At 44.8% G+C, this 22,240-nt stretch overlaps 1 protein-coding gene across 9 annotated transcripts in view, besides 2 other annotated features; it reads left to right on the top strand.

The window, feature by feature from the left end:
- PARP12 (poly(ADP-ribose) polymerase family member 12) overlaps positions 1 to 22,240 on the top strand; it is a 39,203-nt gene that overhangs the window by 15,619 nt on the left and 1,344 nt on the right. The window contains exons 5-11 of one of the 9 annotated variants that reach the window (NM_022750.4): positions 326 to 449; positions 5,494 to 5,689; positions 9,477 to 9,618; positions 13,002 to 13,098; positions 18,645 to 18,720; positions 19,927 to 20,057; positions 20,985 to 21,136. In NM_022750.4, the coding sequence (NP_073587.1) occupies positions 326 to 449; positions 5,494 to 5,689; positions 9,477 to 9,618; positions 13,002 to 13,098; positions 18,645 to 18,720; positions 19,927 to 20,057; positions 20,985 to 21,136 (918 nt within the window). Of the gene's footprint in view, positions 1 to 325; positions 450 to 5,493; positions 5,690 to 9,021; positions 9,095 to 9,371; positions 9,619 to 13,001; positions 13,099 to 13,251; positions 14,819 to 18,644; positions 18,722 to 19,926; positions 20,058 to 20,984; positions 21,137 to 22,240 lie in introns of those variants that run through there. The other 8 variants (XM_047420739.1, NR_130117.2, XR_927514.3 and 5 more) reach the window with 8 other exon arrangements.
- Positions 938 to 1,138: a silencer, noted in NCBI's record as "peak6786 fragment used in MPRA reporter construct". NCBI's record gives its function as "represses an SCP1 promoter by STARR-seq MPRAs in K562 erythroleukemia cells {active_cell/tissue: K562}" and the evidence as "EXISTENCE:reporter gene assay evidence [ECO:0000049][PMID:32103011]".
- Positions 10,772 to 10,821: a silencer, noted in NCBI's record as "silent region_18701". NCBI's record gives its function as "represses an Ori minimal core promoter by ATAC-STARR-seq in GM12878 lymphoblastoid cells {active_cell/tissue: GM12878}" and the evidence as "EXISTENCE:reporter gene assay evidence [ECO:0000049][PMID:35858748]".

The following is a 22,240-nucleotide window of genomic DNA, read 5'->3' as shown; positions in this document are numbered from 1 at the left end:
TAACCCATACACCCATTAATCCATTTATCTATGACCCAGTCACCTCTTAAAGGCCTTACCGCTCAATACTATCACATTGGCGATTAAGTTGTAACAAGAGTTTTAGAAGGGACAGACATTTAAATCATAGCAATGTATATAATAAAATGCAAAAAGTGTTTCTGTATCTAAATGCTCAGGCATGCCGGCACTGAAAAAACAGACTCCACCACACATTTCAGAATGTTCCCAGGTCAGTGGGCAGCACCACACCTGTTGACAACCACAAGGCTAGGGCATGCTGTGTATTGCCCAGCTATCTTACTCCTTTATGTTTTTATTTCAGATAAGTGCCATAGAGTTCATTTCCATTTGCCGTATCGATGGCAATTCTTGGATAGAGGCAAATGGGAGGATTTGGACAACATGGAACTTATTGAAGAGGCATATTGCAATCCCAAAATAGAAAGGTAGGAAATATGTCCCTTGTCTCTGCTTTGTGCCTGGGCTTCTGTGTGTGACACACACACACACACACACACACACACACACACTGTGAGCAGCCTAGTCTGGAGGTGCCTGGGCTTCTGTGTGTGACACACACACACACACACACACACACACACACACACTGTGAGCCACCTAGTCTGGAGGTAGAAGGTGGGCTGGAATCGAAAGTCAGCGTTCATACTGGCAGTTTGGTGGCTTTGTTCTCCCACCTCCCTCTCCTTTCAGACAGGAGCAATGGGGAAAGGAGAAGATGGTACCAAGACCAAGTATTAAGTTCTCAATTGTTTGGTGCTGGGATTGATCATGTACATCTATACTCATTATTACAGAAAAGCGAGAGGTGATAATTTCTATTTGTGAAATTTTGGCCTTTGGCCTATACAGCCATACCGCTGAACTGCTGTTTATGGTTTAACCTTTAACTTTTTTTTTCCCCAAGCATGTCCTAGTATTTTCCCTTAGTTAGTTCAGAGTAAATAGGGGATTCCCGGATAGCCTTCTTTTCAGATACTTAACATATTTTTCATTGAACTTGCTGAAATATGTTGCCAAGAAGAGAATTTGAGCCTGCTTTTTGAGTGTGTAAAATAAATTTGCACTTAGAGTACAATTACGTGCAAATTGCTATTGGTAAAGTATGTGAAACCAATTACTCCTGTTAGGAGGATTAAATGGTTCACATACCACCCCAATCTTTCTTTTTGAGGCAAAATTTACACACAGCGAAGAGCCTAGATATTAAGCATACAGTTCAGTGAGTTTTGACAAATACATACACTTGTGTAGCCAGCATTCTGATTGAGATACGGATCATTTTCCTCACCCCATCTCCTTCCAGTCAGTGCCTACTCCCATCGTTCACCACCGTTCTGACCTCTGTCACCATAGATCTCTGTCTTGCCTGTTCTTGAACCTCATATAAATAGAACCGTGTGGTATGTACTGTTGTGTCTGGCCTCTTTCACTCAAATTCTTCACCCTCCAAATGGGCAAACTACAAGGTCAGACACTTCCCGGCAGAGGAAGCACAGGTGGCCAATAACGTGGATCTGGATTTATTTCTGCCACTCATTATAATTGTCACTGTGACCCACTTTTTGTATATTTCTTTTCTCTTTTTGATCTTCTTGTAGATTTTTTTCCTCACTTGGTTTTTTCCCTTTACTAGTTTGGACGTTATATACTGAATTTTTATTTTTTCAGTGGCTGCTCTGGAAATCTAAACAGACTCTTTATCTTAACAGACTTTTAGCTGAGCTTAAGCCAATCAGTGCCTTTTGTCATTCTGTCAAACAATGAAAGAACCTTGGACACTTGAATTCTGACTAGTTTCATTCAAACTTATTTACTAATTATATAAATTTGGCCAGATTACTTAATCTCATTTTACCTCAGCTTTACTATATGTTAGGTAGACAAAATAATAGTTTCTACGTCACAAGGTTATTTTGAGAATTAAATGAGTTAATATGCATAAAACACTCAGATCACTGCCAGGCACATAAGATGTGGGTCGAGCGCAGCAGCTCATACCTGTTATCCCAGTGCTTTGGGAGGCTGAAGTGGGAGGATTGCTAGAGGCTGGGAATACACAACTAGCCTGGGCAACATAAAGAGACCTTGTCTCTACAAAAATTTTTAAAAAAATTAGCTGAGCATGGTGGCGCGTGCCTGTAGTCCCAGCTACTCAGGAAGCTGCAGAGGGAGCACCATTTGAGCCCAGGAGTTTGATGCTGCAGTGAGCTATGATTGTGTCACTACACTCCAGTCTGGGTGACAGAGCTAGATCTTGTCTCTATTAAAAAAAAAAAAAAGAAAAAGATGCACTGTATGTATTGCTGATATAATATTTTTAATCCTAGAGGTTAGAAATTCGTATTGTTTTAGGCAGTCAGTATTTGTTTAAGCTTACACAATTACCATTTTGTTTCTTACTCACCATTCCTTTGCTCACACTTCTCCTTGTTTATCATTTTCTTTCTTTAAGTTCCTCTGTTGGAGGTTGCTTTAATGAGAGTCTGGAGGTAATTGTGTATTTTGTTAGTCTGAAAGGGTTTTTATTCCCTTCTCATTCTTGAAAGATAGTTTTACTGGGTATTTTCCCTCAGTTCTTCAAAGACTATTTCATTGTTGTCTGGATTCCATTGCTTCTACTTAGAAGTTAGCTATCAGCCTAAATCGAGGTGGTATTAGTTCACTTCTTAGGGCTGCTGTAACAAATTACCATGAACTTGATGGCTTCAAACAACAGAAATTTATTTTCTCGGTTCTGGAGGCTAGAAGTCCAAACTGAAGGTGTTAGCAGGGCCTTGCTCTGTCTGAAGGCTTTACAGGAGGATCCTTTCTTGCCTCCTCCAGGATTCTGATGCTTAGAAATCCTTGGCATGCCTTGGCTTGTAGACGCGTCACTCCAATCTCAGCCTCCATTGTCACAGGCATTTCCCCATGTGTCTGTGTTCAAATTTCCCTCGTCTTAAAAGGACATCAGTTTTGGATTAGGGCCCACCCGAATCCAATATGACCTCATCTTAACTTGATTATATCTGCAAAGACCCTATTTCCAAATAAGATCGCATTCATGGGTACCAGGGATTAGACCTTCAGCATATCTTCTTGGGGACACAATTCAATCCAGTATAATAGATAGTCTGTTTTTTTCTCTCTGGCTGTTTTTAATATCTTGTCATTCTTTGGTGCTGTGCAGTTTCACTAAAATCTGTGTGTGGATTTAAAAAAATTTATGCTACTCATATTTTGCTGTGCTTTCTGATTTCCTCAGCCATGATCTCCTTAAGTATTCCTTCTCTGGAATTCTCATTAGATATATGGTGAAGTCTTCTCACTTTATCTTTTATGTCTTCTAACTTCTCTTTTATTCTCTTTCTAAACTCTGCCACATTTCTTCCTCTCAGGCTCTCAGTTCATTAGTTCAGACTCTTCTGAGATGCAGTGTGTCCCATCGAAGTATGATTTTTAAATTTCAGTTAATTTAATTATGTTTAAAAGTTCTAAGGTCGGGAGCAGTGGCTCACGCGTGTAATCCCAGCACTTTGGGAGGCTGAGGAGGGCGGATGGCTTGAGGCCAGGAGTTCAAGACCAGCCTGGCCAACATGGTGAAACTCTGTCTGCACAAAAAAATACAAAAATTAGCTGGGCGTGGTGGTGCATGCCTGTAATCCCAGCTACTCCTCGGGAGGGTGAGACAGGAGAATCGCTTGAATCCGGGAGGCGGAGATCACGATGAGCTGAGATGATGCCACTGCACTCCAGCCTGGGTGACAGGGTGAGACTCTGTCTCAAAAAATAAAAAATTAAAAAAAAGTAGTAAAAAAGGAAAAGAAAAAAAGTTTTGGAGGGAGTGGAGGAGAAAGAAAAGAATAATGAATAGTAAAAGTTCTGTTTTTTTCCTTAAATTTACCCAGTCAGTTTTTATAGTCTCTTGATTCTTACTCATACTTTTGATGCTCAATTCCTTTTTAAAAAACATATCACGTATATCTGCATCTGAGAATACTAATGTTTATAGTTCAGGGTGGTCTGATTTTGTTTTTGTTAACTTTTGCTCATAGTGTCTTTGTTTCCACATTTTGTGATCGATTTTGAGCTCATGTTTGATTTGATGGAAATTTCTTTGGAAATTCTTTTTTTTTGAGATGGAGTCTCACTCTGTCGCCCAAGTTGGAGCGCAGTGGTGCGGTCTCAGCTCACTGCAAGCTCCGCCTCCTGGGTTCATGCCATTCTCCTGCCTCAGCCTCCTGAGTAGCTGGGACTACAGGTGCCCGCCACCACTCCCGGCTAGTTTTTGTATTTTTAGTAGAGACGGGGTTTCACTGTGTTAGCCAGGATGGTCTCGATCTCCTGACCTCATGATCCACCTGCCTTGGCCTCCCAAAGTGCTGGGATTACAGGCGTGAGCCACCATGCCCGGCCAAGAAATTCTTTTGAGGCCTGAGTTGAAGGTGAATTTCTCCAGAGGGGATGTGTGTTTGCTTCTCTGAGAACTGCTACCCTGGGTGGTCTTTGCAGCTAATTCTCCCAAAATGTGAATCAGTCTAAAACTTCTGTGAGGCTTGAGTGGTTTATGAGTTCTCAGAGGAATTTTTTCCTCCTTTATCCAGAACCAACATTAATACAGGCAGGTTTCCTTGCCAGATGTCTTTGCAAGGCAAGTCCCCTCTCCAGTCCCCCTTTACTAAGGTGGGTCATCTTTTAGGGTCCTGGTTTTACGCAGAGGTATCTCTTTTGAGATTCAGCCTCCTGCCGTACTCAGACCCTACATTTGTTTCCTGCTTCCCTTTTGCGGCCAAAGCCCAGGCTCTCTGTCGTTACTCATCGATACTGCCCTGGGATAGCTGCTGGCTCTCGCCCTCCTCTCCGCTCTCCAGTTTCGTACCTTCCTTTGGTCTTTAGGCAGTACTGCGTTTAGAAAGGGAGCGTGTCCTGGTGGCTCAGGTGCAGGCTGTGCAGCCCACCTGCCCACCTGAAAGCCCAGCTCGCCCGCTGACTAGCTGTTTGACCTTGAACAGGTTTCTTCACCTTCCTGAGCTTCTGTTTTCCCGTCTGTGAAGTGGAGATAATAGTCTCAACCTCATAGGGTTGTGAAAATGTCATCGCCTAATACATATAAAGTGCTTAATGCAGGGTCTGGCTCACACAGTAAACACTCAGTATATGTTAACTATTGTTATTTTTGGCTTCTGAGGACTTCCCTTTCTTGCCAGCTCAGCAGTGAATTTTAAAAAAGAATGATTTCACCAGCATCTTCGGCATTTTGTACTGAGAGGAATTTTCGTCATAACTAGTCTCCCACATTATCTTGATTTTGATATTTTTATACCTCAAAACTGATCTGAAAAAGCAGTTTCCTCTACCTCTGGGAACTTTTTCTAAAATGTGCATGCCACATTTACTATTCGCATCTCCCAGCTATATGTTCTCAAGCTGAGGGACCTGTGTCTGCTTGGCTGGTGGGATTTTCAGTCTGCTGCTGTTTTTCTTCTGTAGGATCCTGTGCTCTGAGTCAGCCAGTACCTTTCACTCTCATTGTCTGAACTTTAACGCCATGACTTACGGTGCTACCCAGGCTCGCCGCCTCTCCACGGCCTCCTCTGTCACCAAACCTCCACACTTCATCCTCACCACTGACTGGATTTGGTACTGGAGTGATGAGTTTGGTTCTTGGCAGGAATATGGAAGACAGGTAAGTGTGATGGAAAGAGGGTGAATGTTTTGTCCTGAGGATCTGTAAGAGAGGAGCCAAATAAGAGCCCCCATATTGTTGCCAGGGGCATCCTTGAGAGAGCTGAGGATCCCCAGGTGCCAGTGTGGCTCACTTGCTTTGGGAGAATTATGGCAAAACTAGATAAGTTGGAATTTATTTGTATGAGCTTTCATCTTTGAAGAGCTTCCATCTGTTGGCTCATGAGAACTGAATGACAAATTTGTAGTGAGATCAAGTTTCTTCATTGGTTTTATTAAATGGGATAGAAAGATGTTTCTCTTGTTGAACAGGTAACTTAACCCCACAGCTGGTGCCTATGTGTGCAAGTGTGTTTGTGTAGCTGTGATATAGAGGTAAAGGCTTTTCAAACTGGTTGTCTGCCATTTCTGCAACTTTACAGAAGGTAGGCAAATATAAGAAAATTGATTTATATCATGTATAGGTTTGGAATCCAAGCCAAATAACAAAAAATAGTTGCTGTCAATTCTTCGCAGGTGTTTGTGGATGGGTCAGATTAAAGGGAGTCCCCTGGTCACTTATAGAAATACAAGTTTAGGCCGGGCGTGGTGGCTCATGCCTACAATCCCAGCACTTTGGGAGGCCGAGGTGGGCAGATCAGTTGAGGTCAGGAGTTCAAGACCAGCCTGGCCAACATGGTGAAACCCCATCTCTACTAAAAATACAAAAATTGGCCAGGTGTGGTGGCGTATGCCTGTGGTCCCAGCTACTCGGGAGACTGAGGTATGAATGAGAATCACTTGAACCCGGGAGGCAGAGGTTGCAGTGAGCAGAGATCACACCACTGTACTCCAGCCTGGGCGAAAGAGCGAGATTCCATCTCAAGTACAAGTTTAGGGAAGGCACCATTGATAAAGAACTCACCCTCCAAAATGAAAATCGATAGGTATTTTGTACTCTTCTGGGTTTCAAGAGGCTATATTGAAGCTTTAGTTTCTTATTCTTAACTGCACTCAGAATGCCCTTTAACTCTGGTGATGCTCTAATGTAAGCTCCATGAGGGCAGGGACTTTTGTCTTTTCTTTTGCCCCATCGTATCCCGTGTGTGGAATGATGCATAGCCAGTCCTCAGGAAATAGACATTGGCTGATGGAAGGAGGAGGGTGTTACTGACAGTGTCTGTTGGTCAGCTGGAGATGGTCACTCTCAGCGATGGCCTTGCTGCCTTGCACTACTTCCTTTCCCCTCTCCTCCCCTGCTCCCCTCTTGCCAGCACCAGCCTCTCCTTGCTTGCTGCTCTGCCCTGCCTGCCTTTCCCACCTGTCTCCCTCCCGTCGTGGGCGACCTGGGACTCTCTCTGACCTGCCCTGTGGGACTCATCCAGATAAGCTCTCTGGGTTTGGTCAGGAGCGTGAGGGGAAGAGGCTGGCGTGACATGGAGGAGGGGGAGAGGATGACTGCCCAATCATGCTCCGGGAATCCCGGCTCTCCTGGAGATGGAGGGACAGATGGCAGGCGCAACACACTTAGCAGATGTGACCATCACGTTCATTCTGTTTGGGGATCTGTCCGGCTTCTCGGAGGAGACCGCTGGTTGCTGAATGAGATGACACAGGGCTCTGGGCAACCCATGCAAAAGTAGGGTTCCCCGGTGGTGTCTCATCACAGCTCTGGTTGTTGGGGCCGGTCTCCTCCAGTCAGCCAACACCTGGAGCGTGCCCCTTTCTTTCCTGTGCTCCTCTTCCTCTGTGGCAGTGCAGAAACTCATGGCGAGCAGTTTGAGAATGTCTGGGGATGAACCGCGTGTGGATGTTATTGATATGCCACGTGCTAGTGGGGGCGTAGAAACACATGTAGGCTTGGTGGCTTCAGGCTGGACAGCCTAGGATGATCTGGTTTGTCTTGTCCTCCCTTTCCTACACGTTTCTGGTATAACCCCACATTTAGGTTTCTTTTTTAGTTTTCTGTTAATTGCCACTTCAAAACAGTTTTCTCTTGATTCCCAGAAAAGCTAAGTTTTTTCTGTCTGAGCTCAAGAAGTACTCCAACATTTCATGTCAAAATCAGACACCTGCTGGTCCTGCCACAGGACATGTGGGAATCTGTCATTCCTTCCACATCTCACTTGGTGCCTCCAGGTGCTAAACCGAGACCTTTCTCAGCTTAACACATAATATGGCTGCCATTGTTGGTTTCTCCTTCCAAACCTCCCACTGAGGGCAAAAAAACTCTTTGCTTTTTGCTTTCTGCTCATCCACCTGCATCTTCCCTCCCTCTGTGACCATCCATCTGCAGGGATTTTGACTGGAGGCCTGGGTCGGGGCAGGACGCCTGCATCTGACTGCTGCTTCTCCTCTCTGTTTCCCTGACTCAGAGCTTCATTTCCTCAGGCCCAAAGGGGAGGGATTGTTTTCTTTTCCTTTCCTCTTGTTGTCAGAAAGGGATTTTTATGCCACATCCTCTTCCTCCCGGACTCTAGTCTAATGGCTTGGTTTTGAAGGAAGACAGACTTCAGAGAGAGAAACTTAGGCGCCGCTATGAGACCGTAAACTAGGAGGCTGCTTTACAAACCATTATACCTCTTACACCCGCCCCTTATGGTCCTCATGGGGCCAACTCATGTCATCCCTCGGGCTTGGGCCTTGGCTCAGGCATCTTTTTCTTCCAAGAAACCTTTGCTGGGTCTCACCCTTCCTTGGTCATTCTTAGTTACCCATCTCAGCGTCTAGAGCACCCGTGAGACCTGTGTGGGACCTTGTGCTTGAGGCTTTGAAATATCTGGGTACTTTTTTTTCCCCTTCTCCATTGCTGGACTCAGTTGCGCAGAGGCATGGGTGACTCTTGTCTTGTCTCACTTTTGTTCTGTTAGTAACACCTAAAGCTTGTGACCCAGGAGAACTAGGATGGTAGCAGTAGGGGGAGCAGGAAAATTGACAGGGACAGAGGGAGTTAGTTGGTTATAGGTTGAATAACTTTAATTTTAGTTGTCAGTGTAATCTCAAATTTAATAAGAACGGTGATGATAATAGTAACATTTATTGAGTATGTTTTGTTCTGGGCACTGTACTAAGTGCTCCACATGCCTTATTTAAATGATTTCTCCAGCCCTGTGAGGACAATATAGTCCTGTTGTATAAAGGGATGAATATGGCCTAAGTACTATTATTCATATTATAAGCTTGAGATAACGGAGGCTCAGGGAGGTTAAGATAACTTGCCAAAGTTATAGAGCCAGCAGGTTTGGGAGCCAGAATTCAAACTCACTCCAGCTGAAGCTACGAGATTTCCTGTAGGTAATTGTGGAAGGATAGGGATTGAAATGGATAATTTAAAAAATAGATGAATGCTCCTAGGGACCAGAAAAAGAAAACCGCAAGGAAGAGGACCGAGCTCTGATTAAAGGATGGTTGCAACGTGAATAGACGGGTAAGACCAGCCTGGCTTGGGCTGCCCAGTCAAGCAGCACTCCAGAAGTCGCTGTTGCTGTTCTGCCGGCATTTGAATGGCTGCCGTGTCCTCTGTCCTAGGTGACTTGAGTGCCCTCCTCTCCGTTGCTCCCATCCCTGTCTTCCTGCTCAGCAGGACCCATATTTACTGCATTGTGTTTGCTAGGGCAGCTTCAGGAGACAGTCATGTTGCCTCCATTCTGTGCCTCTCTCTCCTGCCATACCATGCTCCCTGGCCTCCATCTTCCCCACCACAGGACTGTCCACCAGGAGCACCTCTGAAATGTGGCGTGGGTGCCACCAGCGTTTTTCCTCATCACGCAGTTTCTTGCCTTCATAAAGTGTCTGGCTTTCCATCGCAGGGCACGGTGCACCCTGTGACCACTGTCAGCAGTAGCGACGTGGAGAAGGCCTACCTGGCCTACTGTACACCGGGGTCTGACGGCCAGGCAGCCACCTTGAAGTTCCAGGCCGGAAAGCACAACTACGAGTTAGATTTCAAAGGTATCCTGTGCCCTGCCCTCGCCCAGCAGAGCCTGCCTGTGTTGGCTCTGTCCCTACACCTTAACCCTGGAGGAGCCGTGTGCACATACTGAGGGCCTGGGTGGGTACAGGAAAGAAAAGCAAGGTACCAGGTCCAAGGTAGACCTGGAGACAGATGACACTGGCCCTGTGCAGTGGAGGAAGAACTGCATCAAGGATGTGAGGAGAATGGACCCCAGGAGGGGCAGGAGCCCCAAGTGTGGAGGACAAGCAGGGTCAGCATGCATGTAGCATGGTTGTCCTGCTGTATCCGAGGACTAACCTGAGTCCCTGACAGGTGTCCGAGCAGCTCCGTCGTGCAGTGTCTGCCTTTCACTCCCTGCTGCAGCAGTGCTGCTGTCATCTTTTTTTTGAGACGGAGTCTCGCTCTGTCACCCAGGCTGGAGTGCAATGGCGTGATCTTGGCTCACTGCAACCTCCGCCTCCCGGGTTCAAGTGATTCTCGTGCTTCAGCCTCCCAAGTAGCTGGAATTACAGTCATGAGCCGTCACACCTGGCTAATTTTTTGTATTTTTCATAGAGACGGGGTTTCATCATGTTGGCCAGACTGGTCTTGAATTCCTGTCCTCAAGCGTTCTACCCACCTTGGCCTCCCAGTTTGCTGGGATTTCAGGCATGAGCCACCGCGCCTGGCCTGCTGCCATCTTTTCTGTAGGCGACTTTGGAGTTGATGGGTTTAACGGATGGTAGGACACAGAGTAATTGAAAGTCCCTGAGAAGCAGATTTTCGTGCACTCATGGTGTCCTGAGGCTGGGGCTGAAATGTTTCATCCTGGTTGCCTTACAGAGAGAAATAGGCCACCCTTTGGCCAGTTCCTCCAAGTGGCTGATGTGTGAGAATTTTTTTTTTTTTAAGTTTTAATTTTGTGTAGTTTCTCTTAAGCCATTTCCTCATGAGTGTATCGGTCCAGCTTTATTCAGTTCCGTTTTGCCTGTATTTCACATTTTAAACTCTGAGTCCTTCTGAATGTTCAGCATTTTATAAGGGAGTAAGTGGGCCTTCCTTTAAACACAGTTTATGGTTTTCTTTATTTTTGCAGACGTTTATTCTATGTGGAGTATAGTGAAGTGTCTGGTGAATTATCCTAAAACCACTTTGGCTGTCTGTTTCTGGCCTTGGTTTTGCTTGTGGTTTCGTGGCACTTGTGGTTTTGCTTAGGGTAGATCACTACCCCCTTGACATGCCCTTTACGGTGAAGTTTTTCTCCTCTAGAGTGCGAACTGCCTCTGCTGGAGAGCGCCAGCCACGTGTGGTCTGGTTTGCTTTCCACGGCCTGACACACACCAGTGCATGAGAGGGGACCAGTGAGAGCATAGACGTTAATCAAATCAGGACTGCCCTGAAGGTCAGGACTGTGTGGCAAGCATACATCTGACTGCTGCTGACAGCAATCTGGAATATTTCTTTTAAATATCTGGAAAATATCAAAACAGATAGAAATGTCAGATACTACCTTGATCATTCCCAACCTAGGCCACACCCTGGGGACATAACAGAACCTCATAATAGGGATGGGGAAGAGCACACACGTGCAGTTTATGATTCCTGCAGACTGACCGAAGCCCATTTGAGTGGGCACAATTCTTCTCCTTCTCCTCCTTCTCCTCCTTCTCCTCCTTCTCCTCCTTCTCCTCCTTCTCCTCCTTCTCCTCCTTCTCCTCCTTCTCCTCCTTCTCCTCCTCCTCCTCCTCCTCCTCCTCCTCGTCCTCCTCCTCCTCCTCGTCCTCCTCCTCCTCCTCCTCCTCCTTGTCCTCCTCCTTGTCCTCCTCCTCGTCCTCCTCCTCTTCCTCTTCCTCCTCCTCTTCCTCTTCCCCCTCCTCCTCCTCTTCCTCCTCCTTCTTTTGGTAGATACCAGTATCCATAAAAGAAGCTTGAGATGAATTGGCTTCTTCCCCCACAACTTCACTTCTAAGTATAAAGCAAGTCTCAAAGCAAACTGCCACACATATTTATTAGCTGTTTATTAGGAAGCAAGTACATTTAAAACACACAAAAGAGCCCAAATGAGTTGTTCTGAAGGTTTAGGGATGATTCAGTTCTGCCCTTTTAGGGACTCTTGTCATAAATGATTCACTCAAGGCAAATGCCAGGATTCCAGAGGCAGAATTCTAGCATCCTGTTAGGTGGTGTCTGACGGGGCAGAATTCCCCAAAGACAGGCTGTAGCCTAGGGTATCCTCTGGAAGGGTAAATTAGGGAAAAGACCTCACTTTACTGTGTCCATAGAAGGGTAGGGAATGTGTCTGACACACATTTAGCCAGTCCACGTATCTTAGCTCACTTTTAATTTCACCAGTGAAAGCCATTTAAGATTCATCACAGATGGCCAGTAGGCCAGTAACACCCATTTAAATATGCCAGTGAGAATGGTCTTGATGGGCGGCTGAGTAGTGGGTAACAGAAGGGGTCATGGTTGCTGCATCTGGATCATGGGCTCTGAATGAGAATGTGGATGGACCTCCAGGAATAGTGACCATCTCAGCTGCAACCTAAGAGACACACACTTGGATAACCATCCAGTTTATGCTCAACTGCAATAAGGCTAATTCTGGACACCTATAATTTTTAATATTAAAATGTTTTGTAAATGAAAACAAAATTAGTTGGGCATGGTGTCACAAACCTGTAGTCCCAGCTACTTGGGAGGCTGAGGTGGGAGGATTACTTGAGCTGGTGAGTTCAAGGTCCACTTGAGCAACAAAGCAAAAGACCCCATCTCTTAAAAAAAATGTAAGACTTGAGAGGGTTTTCCTGGCAGGCAAGGACAGAACAAACACTGCTAGGTATTTGTCATTTTTCAACTTGAGGGGCCAGTTCCCCCAACCCCAAATCCTCAGGATGAGTATGGGATTCTTGAGGGTGGGGAAGCAAGAAATTTGTTTATTAAAGATATTATTGGTTTAGAAAGGTTGATGAATACTGCCATAGTTTAACTAAAACAAAGTCATAAAACTTACATTAACTCTGAATCCCACTAACTCAAGACATGGTAGTTTGATCTCAGGCTGGGCTGAGGCTTTTTTATATCCAAGCTGGGAAAAATTGCCAAGCAAAATAATGGTTTAAACAAGATTGGAAGGAACAATTTAAAAGCACTCATGTGTAATTGATATGTCAATTACTAATCATTCCTCTATTCATTAAACCCAGTCTCCTAAGGATACCTATTTTCTTTATGAATATTTGAAATGTGTAAAATGGCCCTATTTTTAACAGACTGATTCTGGGTTTTACACATTTGGATAAGCTTTCAAATCTATCTAATTTGTGTTTATAAAACATTGCCATCCTGTGTGTATGTATATGTATATGTATATTTTTTCACTGGTTATGTTTTTTTTCAGCCTTCGTTCAGAAAAACCTGGTCTATGGCACAACTAAAAAGGTTTGCCGCAGACCCAAATACGTGTCTCCCCAGGATGTGACGACCATGCAAACCTGGTAGGTTGCAGTGGGGGGCTTGGTACTTAGGATGTAATCAGCTGGGGTGTGCTCTGCAGTGGTGACAGAAAACCTGCCTCAGACAGCACCCGGGCACCGTTGGCTTGTACAACGAAGTGCTCCCACACTCTGTTATCGTTTGTCTTCTACTAGTTGGACCAGAGTGGGAATTACCCTGTGGGTAGAAGCTTCGTGATGCATAATTAGAAGGCTGCCTGTTGTGATCTGCGATGATTCTCTGGAGAAGACAGACTCTGAAGGCGAGTCTAGACTTGAAGCCAACCCATCCGTTTGTCTTTTCTGTGGAATCATTGAGTCATAGACTTGAATTTTTTAAATGTTGAAATAATGAAATAATGATGGAATTACACCAATAAAAACTCATGTATTTTAGTATTTGAATATCACGGAATACCAAAACTCTAAAAACAGATATTGCAGTCACTAATGGGCGAGCTTCGTCAGGGTGAGTTTCTTTCAGTCCCAAGATGGCTGCCAGGAGCCACCAGGTTAGCCTGTGGCCTGTGAGCCCCTAGAAGGGAGGAGAGAAACCTCCTATAGCAGATGAGGGGAAATTCTTGTGCTTTGTACTGATCAGACCCTATCTCAACCTCTGGTGTTATTTTAGGCTTGGGGAGGTGGGATGGGATTGGAACTGAGAGGAAGGGGTCAGTGTTCTCCAAACCACACAGCCACATATTGGGGGAAGGTGGCCTGCATGGTGGAGAGGGACCACAGTGCCCATACAGTTTGGGCTTGCCAGAGCCAGTGCTGGGACTTTAGGCAGTGTTACTGGTAGCTGGCTGCACCTTCTGTTCGCCTGAGAGGTCTGGCTTGTGTCTATTTTATGGAGAACCAACAATGTCTCTTTTGGTTCTTTTGTTTTGTGAAGCATGCAAAGGTCGTTTTTAAATGAGTTTGGTACAAGATAGAGGAGAAAGGTATTATCAGTCCACGAAACTGCCTTGTGAGTCAGACCTAGCAAAGTAATTTCCTGGGAATGTGCCTTACTTTTTCCTTTTTAAATTAAAATTTATTTTTGCGCTGGGTGCAGTGACTCACACCTGTAATCCCAACAGTTCAAGAGGCCGAGGCGGGTAGATTGCTTGAGCCCAGGAGTTCGAGACCAGCCTGTGCGCCTGTAGTCCCAGCTACTCAGGAGACTGAGGTGGGAGAGACACCTGAGCCCAGGGAGGTCAAGGCCGTAGTGAGCCAAGATCACACCACTGCACTCCAGCCTGGGTGACAGAGTGAGACCCGTCTCAAAAATAATAATTATTATTATTATTGTTTTTGACTATGTGTAAAACCTTCACGTGATTAAAAGTCAAACCTATATAAAATGGTATCCTCTGTAGACTGTAACTTCCTCCCTGTTATCTCTACCCTGTTCCCACTGTGGGTAACATTAGTTTCCGGTTTCTCTTTTTTATGTTTCTCTTTGCAAAAATAAGCATTTGCATACATACATATAAAAGTATTTTCTTCTTGCACAAAAGGGAACATGCTATCTATACTGTTCTATACCCTTTTTTGTTTTCACTTAAAAATAGATCATGATAATCACTTTGTTTCAATTCATTAACTTCCTCAATCCGTTTCTTCTTTCCTGGTTCTCTGTAATATGTATGTACCATAGTTTACTTAATATGTCCCCTTTTCATGGATGTTTGTGTTGTTTTCAGTCTTTTGCTATTAAAAAGTATAATGTCGTGATGAACCATTTGATGTATGTGCTGTTTCAAATTTTGGAGGTATGGCCAGGTGCGGTGGTGCACACCTATAATCCCAGCACTTTGGGAGGCCAAGATGGAAGGATCGCTTGAGCCCAGGAGTTTGAGACCAACCTGGGCAACATAGCGAGACCCTGTCTCTTTTTTTTTTTAATTAAAAAAAACAAATTTTGGAGGTCGACTGTTAGGTCAGAGTCGTAGGAAGTAAACCAAATTCCTTTCCATGGGCTTGAATCATTATGCACACCCACTAGGACGCATGAGATGCCACAGAGTGAGTTGTCAGGCTCTTGGGCTTTTGCATTTCTCAGGGGTAAAGATGGGTCAGTGGACTTCAGTTTGCTCTCTCTTAGGAGTGAGGTTGAATATTATTTCTAACATGTAAGTGCCATTTTTGCTTCTTTTTCTGTGGACTGTTGGTCTTTTTATCCATTTTTCTATCAACTTTCTGGTATTTTTCTTAAATATCAAGAGCCTTTTATCTATTAGGGAGGTTGGCCCTCGTTTTGTTATATAAATGGCAAATATTTTCTCTTAGTTTGTTGTTTGCCTTTTGACTTTGCCTGTGAAGTATTTTACCATAAATATATATCTCTTATTATTTTAGTTAAATGTATCAGTGTCTTACTGATTCTGGATTTAGAGTTTTGGTTGATTATGACCCTCCTATTTCTGGAAGTCATTTTTTATTCTTTTCCTATACAAAGCCTACCCTAGACAAGGTTTGGAAAAGTCTCTCTGCTTTCTGAGAGTAGATCTCTCTTATTCTAATTTAGTTTTTAGGGGGCCACAAGAAGATGCCAAATGTCCAAACTAAAAGTGATTCAGACTAAGATATGGGTGATTTGGGGTCTCCTGTAAGCGGAGTGTCACACACTGTTCACACAGATGAAGTGTTCAGTTCTTCTCTCTGACCCATGTGCCAGCAGCTGGTTGTCATTAACTCCAGTAAGCAAGTCTGCCTGGGCCTGCATGGCCAATTGGGAATCTGAGGGTAGATCACTTTCAGAAACAACTTTTCTGTTTACACAATTAATGAGGTCATAAAATGTAATGTCCATATTCAGAAGTCATAATACAGGAGTGTCATGTAAAATTTATTTATGTATTTATTTATTTATTTATTTATGAGACAGGGTCTCACTCTGTCACCCAGGATGGAATGCAGTGACCTGATCACGGCTTATTGCACCTTCCACCTCCCGGGCTCAAGCAATCCTCCCACCTCAGCATCCCAAGTAGTTGGGACCACAGGCATGCGCCACCATGCCCAGCTAATTTTTTTATTTGTTGTGGAGACAGGGTCTCACCATGTTGCCCATCCTCTATGAAAATGTTTCATTCATGTGATTGGGTCTTATTTTTTCTTTTCTTACCTTCTTTTGTGTATATGTATATTTTAAAGGCTATGGTAGAAACTACATGTTCTTCACTTAAGTACAAGTAAATCAATATCTTTGCCCTCCTATCTTTTCTTCCATTTGCCTTCCTCTCAACTTTTTTTAAACCTCAAGAGGCACCATTATTTTATACTCTGAAAGTTTCATTAAATTTACTCACATTTTTACCACTTTGTCCTTTCAGATTACCTTAGATCAGGGGTGTCCAATCTTTTGGCTTTCCCAGGCCACATTAGAGGAAAAAGAATTGGTCCACACATAAAATACACTAACACTAACGATAGCTGAACTAAAAGAATAAAAACCACAAGAAAATCTCATAATGTTTTAAGAAAGTTTACAGATTTGTGTTGGGTCACATTCAAAGCTGTCCTGGGTTACATGCAGCCTGCGGGCTGCAGGTTGGACAAGGCTGCCTTCGATGAAGATTTGTTGGAAAACTGTTTTTGGTTTGTCTGAATATGTATGTACGTATGTATGTATGCATGTATGTATGTATGTATTTTGAGATGGAGTCGCACTGTCGCCCAGGCCAGAGTGCAGTGGCATGATCTTGGCTCACTGCAACCTCCGCCTCTTGAGTTCAAGCGATTCTCCTGTCTCAGCCTCCTGAGTAGCTTGGACTACTGGCGTGCGCCACCATGCCCGGCTAATTTTTGTATTTTTGGTGGAGATGGGGTTTCATTATGTTGGTCAGGCTGGTCTTGAACTCCTGATCTCAAGTGATCTGCCCACCTCGGCCTCCCAAAGTGCTGGGATTACAGGCGTGGGCCACTGCGCCTGGCCAACATGTATTTATTTTGCCATCAATCTTGAAGGAAATTTTCACTGGGTATAGAATTTTGGGTTGTAGGGATTTTCTCTTGGATCATTGTGATGATCACTCCACTGTATTCTGGCTTCCACTGTTGCTTTTGAGAAATTGCCTGTTGGTCTAACAGGTGCTTCTTTGACAGTAATCACTCTTTTTTCCTTTGGCTACTTTTAAGAGCTTCTGTTTGTCTTGGAGGTAGGCATCCTCACTAAAGTGTATCTAAGTATGTGCTTTTATTTATCATGGTTGAGATTCTTTGGGCTTCTTAAGCTGCGGATAGGTGCATCTCATCAGTTCTCTTTGAAAATCGCCTCCACTGTCTTGTCTCTCCTCTCCTAGAGCTTCACTTAGGTTCTGATCATATTCAAGTTCTCACTGTTCTCCATGTCTCAACTTCTTTCCTGCATTTTCCATTTCCTTGTTGCTGTGGGCCACATTCTGGACAATTTCATTTCACATATGTTTCAGCTCACTGATTCTTCCTCCAGCTGGTCTAATCTGCTATTAAGCCTGTCCACTACACTTTTATTATTAAAGATTGTACTTAATTCTGTAAGTTCTATTTGGTTCTTTTTTAGATCTTCCAGGTCTTTTTATAGTTTCCTGTTCCTTGCATATGTTTTTAAAGTTTGTCTTTTTTTTTCCTTTAAACATAGGAAGAATAATTGTTTTGTAATCTCTCTGATAATTTCAGCATCTTAAGTCTTTGTGGGTCTGTTTTTGGCTGATTCTTGCTGGTAGGACCTTGCTTAGTTATTTTTGAACTGTGCCATTTTCCCAGGAAAGTTATTTGTGGGAGTTCTTTGAGGCTTAGGATGAAGGTATATGTTTCATGCCAGCAGAAACAGAAGGTAGATCTATTTAGAAAGAACAGTGTATTCTGAAACTTAATAGGAATGATTTGTAATTATAGTTTCACAGTCCTTGTTCCTGAACCCTTGATCCATATGTCTTTTGAACTGCTTTTATTTAATTTTTAGAAAGATAATGTGATGCTTGTATCACGTGACACTCTGTATTTTAGCACATTAATATTTCTGCAGTAAACAATATGCATAGTCAGTTTAAGAAGGATAGATACAGATCACAGTGGCCTCTTACTAACTTCAGTCAAATTTCTACTGCCAAATGACTTTTGATGTCACTTTTATGTTTTTCAAAAAATGTTTTATTTCATATTTTCTCCTGCTTTTCCTGAGCTGTATAAAAAGTTTTAAAATGTCAATTATACCTCATCGAGGCCTTAAAAAAATGTCTTTAGAGCTCTTAGAATTTCAGAATTGTGGATAAAGGTTTATGGCTGTGTGTGTGCTCCTTTAACCATGTACTCCATCCCTTTTATCCCTTTTGTGTGGTAGTTGGGACACAGGCGAGAAATAGATCTCTCAGGACTGTTTGGAGTTTGGCTACATAGGCAAAGATAAAAGTGCTCTCATGTTGTGAATATCGTGCTAACATTCTTCCTTGCCTTCTACCTGCTCTTGAAATATGATGTGCTGAGACTCAAGACTGGTGATATTGGCTAGCAGAGACCACCTATGGTATATTTGCTTTGTGTAAGAATAAAATGTCTACGTGTTTTTGTTTACATTTTTGTAGCAATACCAAGTTTCCAGGCCCGAAGAGCATCCCAGACTATTGGGACTCCTCTGCCCTGCCAGACCCAGGCTTTCAGGTAGGGGACGCATGCGCCTGGGGCTGGACAGGAAGGTGTTCTGTAGAAGTGGGTGTGTGTGAACAGACTGTGCCATTCCTCAACACTGAAGAAGCTGTAAGGCTGGGGCTAATTGGGGCAGGAGGGCAGTGACAGATGTGGGCTTTATTTTTGTTTTTGTTTTTTGCAGAGGGTTTTGTTTTTTCACCACCCAGGAGTTGGCTGTGGCTCTGAGGGGAGGGGTTGTCTTGTGGAGGGAGGAGGATGAGCGTGAAATTTGCTAGAAAGGGCAGAAATGAGTTTATGGGCTGGGCTTAACCAATAAATACCAATTTTATTAAGCGAGAAAAGGAGAAGCAGCCTGGGGAGGACCTGAGTCCGATGGACATTTGGAATGGGGTTACTGTCAGGAGGGAAGGCATTCACGACTAGCAGACAGGAGAATGGACAGTCAATTTGGCAGCTTGTTGAGGGGCTCTGACCAGTGGGAGCTGTGCTGAGTGCAGGAGAGTACGCAGACTAACATCTGAGGCTGCCCGTCTGCACCTGGGCTGATGTCTGCCAGCTGGCCGGCTGCCGAGCACTGTCTAACTCAGCTTTAAAACGTGACGGTCCCTGTCCTGGGAGGACTTATTGAGCTTGTATAAGGCACATGCAGATGCCAACAGTGCAGGCAAGAAGTGCTAAGGACCTAAAGGGGTTCAACATGTTTGTCTAGACGACTCTGTGGTCCTTGGACCATGTAGTCCAACCTGTGTCTTTGACCTGTGTGGGACAAGAAAAAAAAAAGGCAGGGACATCCAGGGGATACCCTCGATGGTGGCTTAAGCATCACGTGTCTGTCCTTTAGATTGGTTTCACAGTGATGAGGAGCAAAGTGACTACAATTTGCAAACATAGTAAATCCTCAACATCATCAGTAGGTTCTTGGAAACTGACTTAAAGTGGCACAACATACTGTCTAACGAAACCAATTTCCCATATGCTAACTGACATAAACAAGAGGTTTGTTGTTTTACTTAAAATTGCAGTTTCCAAGAACCTATCAATGACATTTCATGAGGACCGATTGTCTCCTGTGCCTGGAGAAACCACAGGAGAATGTGGTCACTGCTCTCTGGGCTTTTGTGCTTCTGCGGTTCTAGTGTTTACAAGAAGCTTTGGGAAGGGACTGATTTATATTCTGCACGTTGATGGTAATGCATTAAAAACATTTGCCCCTTGCAGAAGATCACCCTTAGTTCTTCCTCGGAAGAGTATCAGAAGGTCTGGAACCTCTTTAACCGCACGCTGCCTTTCTACTTTGTTCAGAAGATTGAGCGAGTACAGAACCTGGCCCTCTGGGAAGTCTACCAGTGGTGCGTTGGGGCTCGCTCTTGGTGGGCTGGTGACTCTGTCCCTTCACACCACTGGCTGGTTGCCACATGTGGCCCGGGTTTCCAGGAAAAGCAGAGCGGCAGTTAGGGCTGCCATGTGCTGGGAGCTGTGTGTCTGCTCTCCTTCGTCCGCTCCCCCAGGGCAGTGTGGTAGCACATCCCATTGTAGAGATGAGGGCACCGAGGCTTCCTGGAGCATACCACCTGGTCCCGTTCATGAGTGGTGGCAAAGCTAGCACTCTCACTTGTCCATTCTGCCTTCCTGGAGACCAGTGGGATGGGTCAGTACAGCCCACCACACCATTAGCCCCAGGAACATAAGGCTGTGGCTAGACAGCAGGGGTCTCAGGTTCATACATGAGGACTGGCTTGTCCTTGAGCACCCACTCACCTGTCTATGTGGGGAGGAATCCTACAATAGGTCACCATGGCAGGCTGGGTCTTGCTGACCTGTCCCCAGATGGGGTTGGGGTAGTGTAATGTGTACTCTGTGCACAGTGATGAAGTCTGGGAATGGGAGAGGGGAGAAGGATGGGCACCCACTGACCAGCAGCCTGAAAATTCCTACAGCATCCCAGGGCTCAGCTCCATGCAGGAGCAAGGTGGGGGTGGGGTTGGGGGAAATGGTACCCATTTTCCAAGGGCTGCTCTGCTTTTGGAGTCCAGGGAACCGCTGCTGTCTGGAGCTGTGGAGGGAGGGTTTTCACCCAGCTCCCACGATCCCCCTTCTTTTCCACACCCTGGCTTGTGGCTGGAGCTTACAGGCCTAGTCAGGGTAGCCTGTGACCTGCGTCTCTTGGTCCCAGGACACTTTTGGAATTTTGGAAAAATGTGTTGTTTTGCATCAGGCCGGCTGTATTTGGTGGCCGGCACACTCTGCCCCCAGCACACATTCTTCTGTGATTCTAGGCAAAAAGGACAGATGCAGAAGCAGAACGGAGGGAAGGCCGTGGACGAGCGGCAGCTGTTCCACGGCACCAGCGCCATTTTTGTGGACGCCATCTGCCAGCAGAACTTTGACTGGCGGGTCTGTGGTGTTCATGGCACTTCCTACGGCAAGGGTAAGGCATGACTGGCCTCCACCAGCAAAACCCATGTTGCTTTGCCCCTGCATAGGAACAGACTGCTAGAGGGCATGAGGGGACCAGCCTGAGCTGATGAGCAGGTTCAGACTCCATGTGTGGTGGTACCTGGGCACAGCTACCAGTCACATCCTTGCTCTTGCTCCTCTGGGCATGGTCAGGAGCTTGGCCCCAGGTGTGGGCAGGGTGGCCTGCCTAGGCTGGGGTGTTGCTTCCCTGTGGAGCAGAGGCCCTGGGAGATGGTGACAGAGACGGGAGAGGAGAGGGGATACCTTCCCAGCCCTGATGAAGTCCCTGACTGTGCCTTTACTATTGATTTCCTTAGAATAGAAACCAGAAACCCTCAGAGATACTCATGTAAACATGTATTCTAGCTATCACGTGAGTTATCTGAGTGTTTTCTTGTCTGTTATTTTTAAACTTGCCAAAGAAAATTTTAAAATACTATTTCTTTGGAAATCGAAATTCAAGAAAATTGGAATAATAATAATTAAAAAAAACCTCTTTGGGTAAATTTTACCTGCGTTCATTGGTTTTAACATGCTGCCACTTCTCTCTTTCTCTCTCCCTCTCTCTTTCTGCACCATTTTCAGGTAGGTGGCATATATTGTCTCCTTTCACCCTTTAACACATCCCAAGAACAGGACATTATCTTCTGTAACCACAATATGCTTACCAAGTTGAGAACATTTTCTGCCCAGCAGTCCATGTTCCGGGTCCATCAGTTCTTTGTTAGTCAGTTTCCGTCTGAGGCAGCGATGGCAAGGGGTCAAGATGGACAGCAGCCAGTGGTAGACTTGTGGATTTAAATGTACAGGTGACAGCTTCTAACTCAGATTTCCATTTGACAAGGCTCATAATTCTATACATTGGGCTGCCAGAGTCTACAGACTGCTTCCGTATATGGGATCTCATTCATTTTCCATGCCAACCCTGTAAGGTTGGGCTGAACAGCCCCATTTTATGCCTGAGGAATCTGAGGTTTGGGGGATTAAGTAGTGACGTGTCCACAGGCCTTTAGGTTTCGTGGGGCAGATCCGGAACTTGAAAGGAATTTGCTATCTCAGTTTGGTAACTCCTCAG

The sequence above is a fragment of the Homo sapiens genome, chromosome 7 (assembly GCF_000001405.40).
Source record: "Homo sapiens chromosome 7, GRCh38.p14 Primary Assembly".
Taxonomy (NCBI): Eukaryota; Metazoa; Chordata; class Mammalia; order Primates; family Hominidae; genus Homo; species Homo sapiens.
Note: the sequence above shows the minus strand (reverse complement) of the source record. Positions and strands in the feature narration are given on the sequence as shown.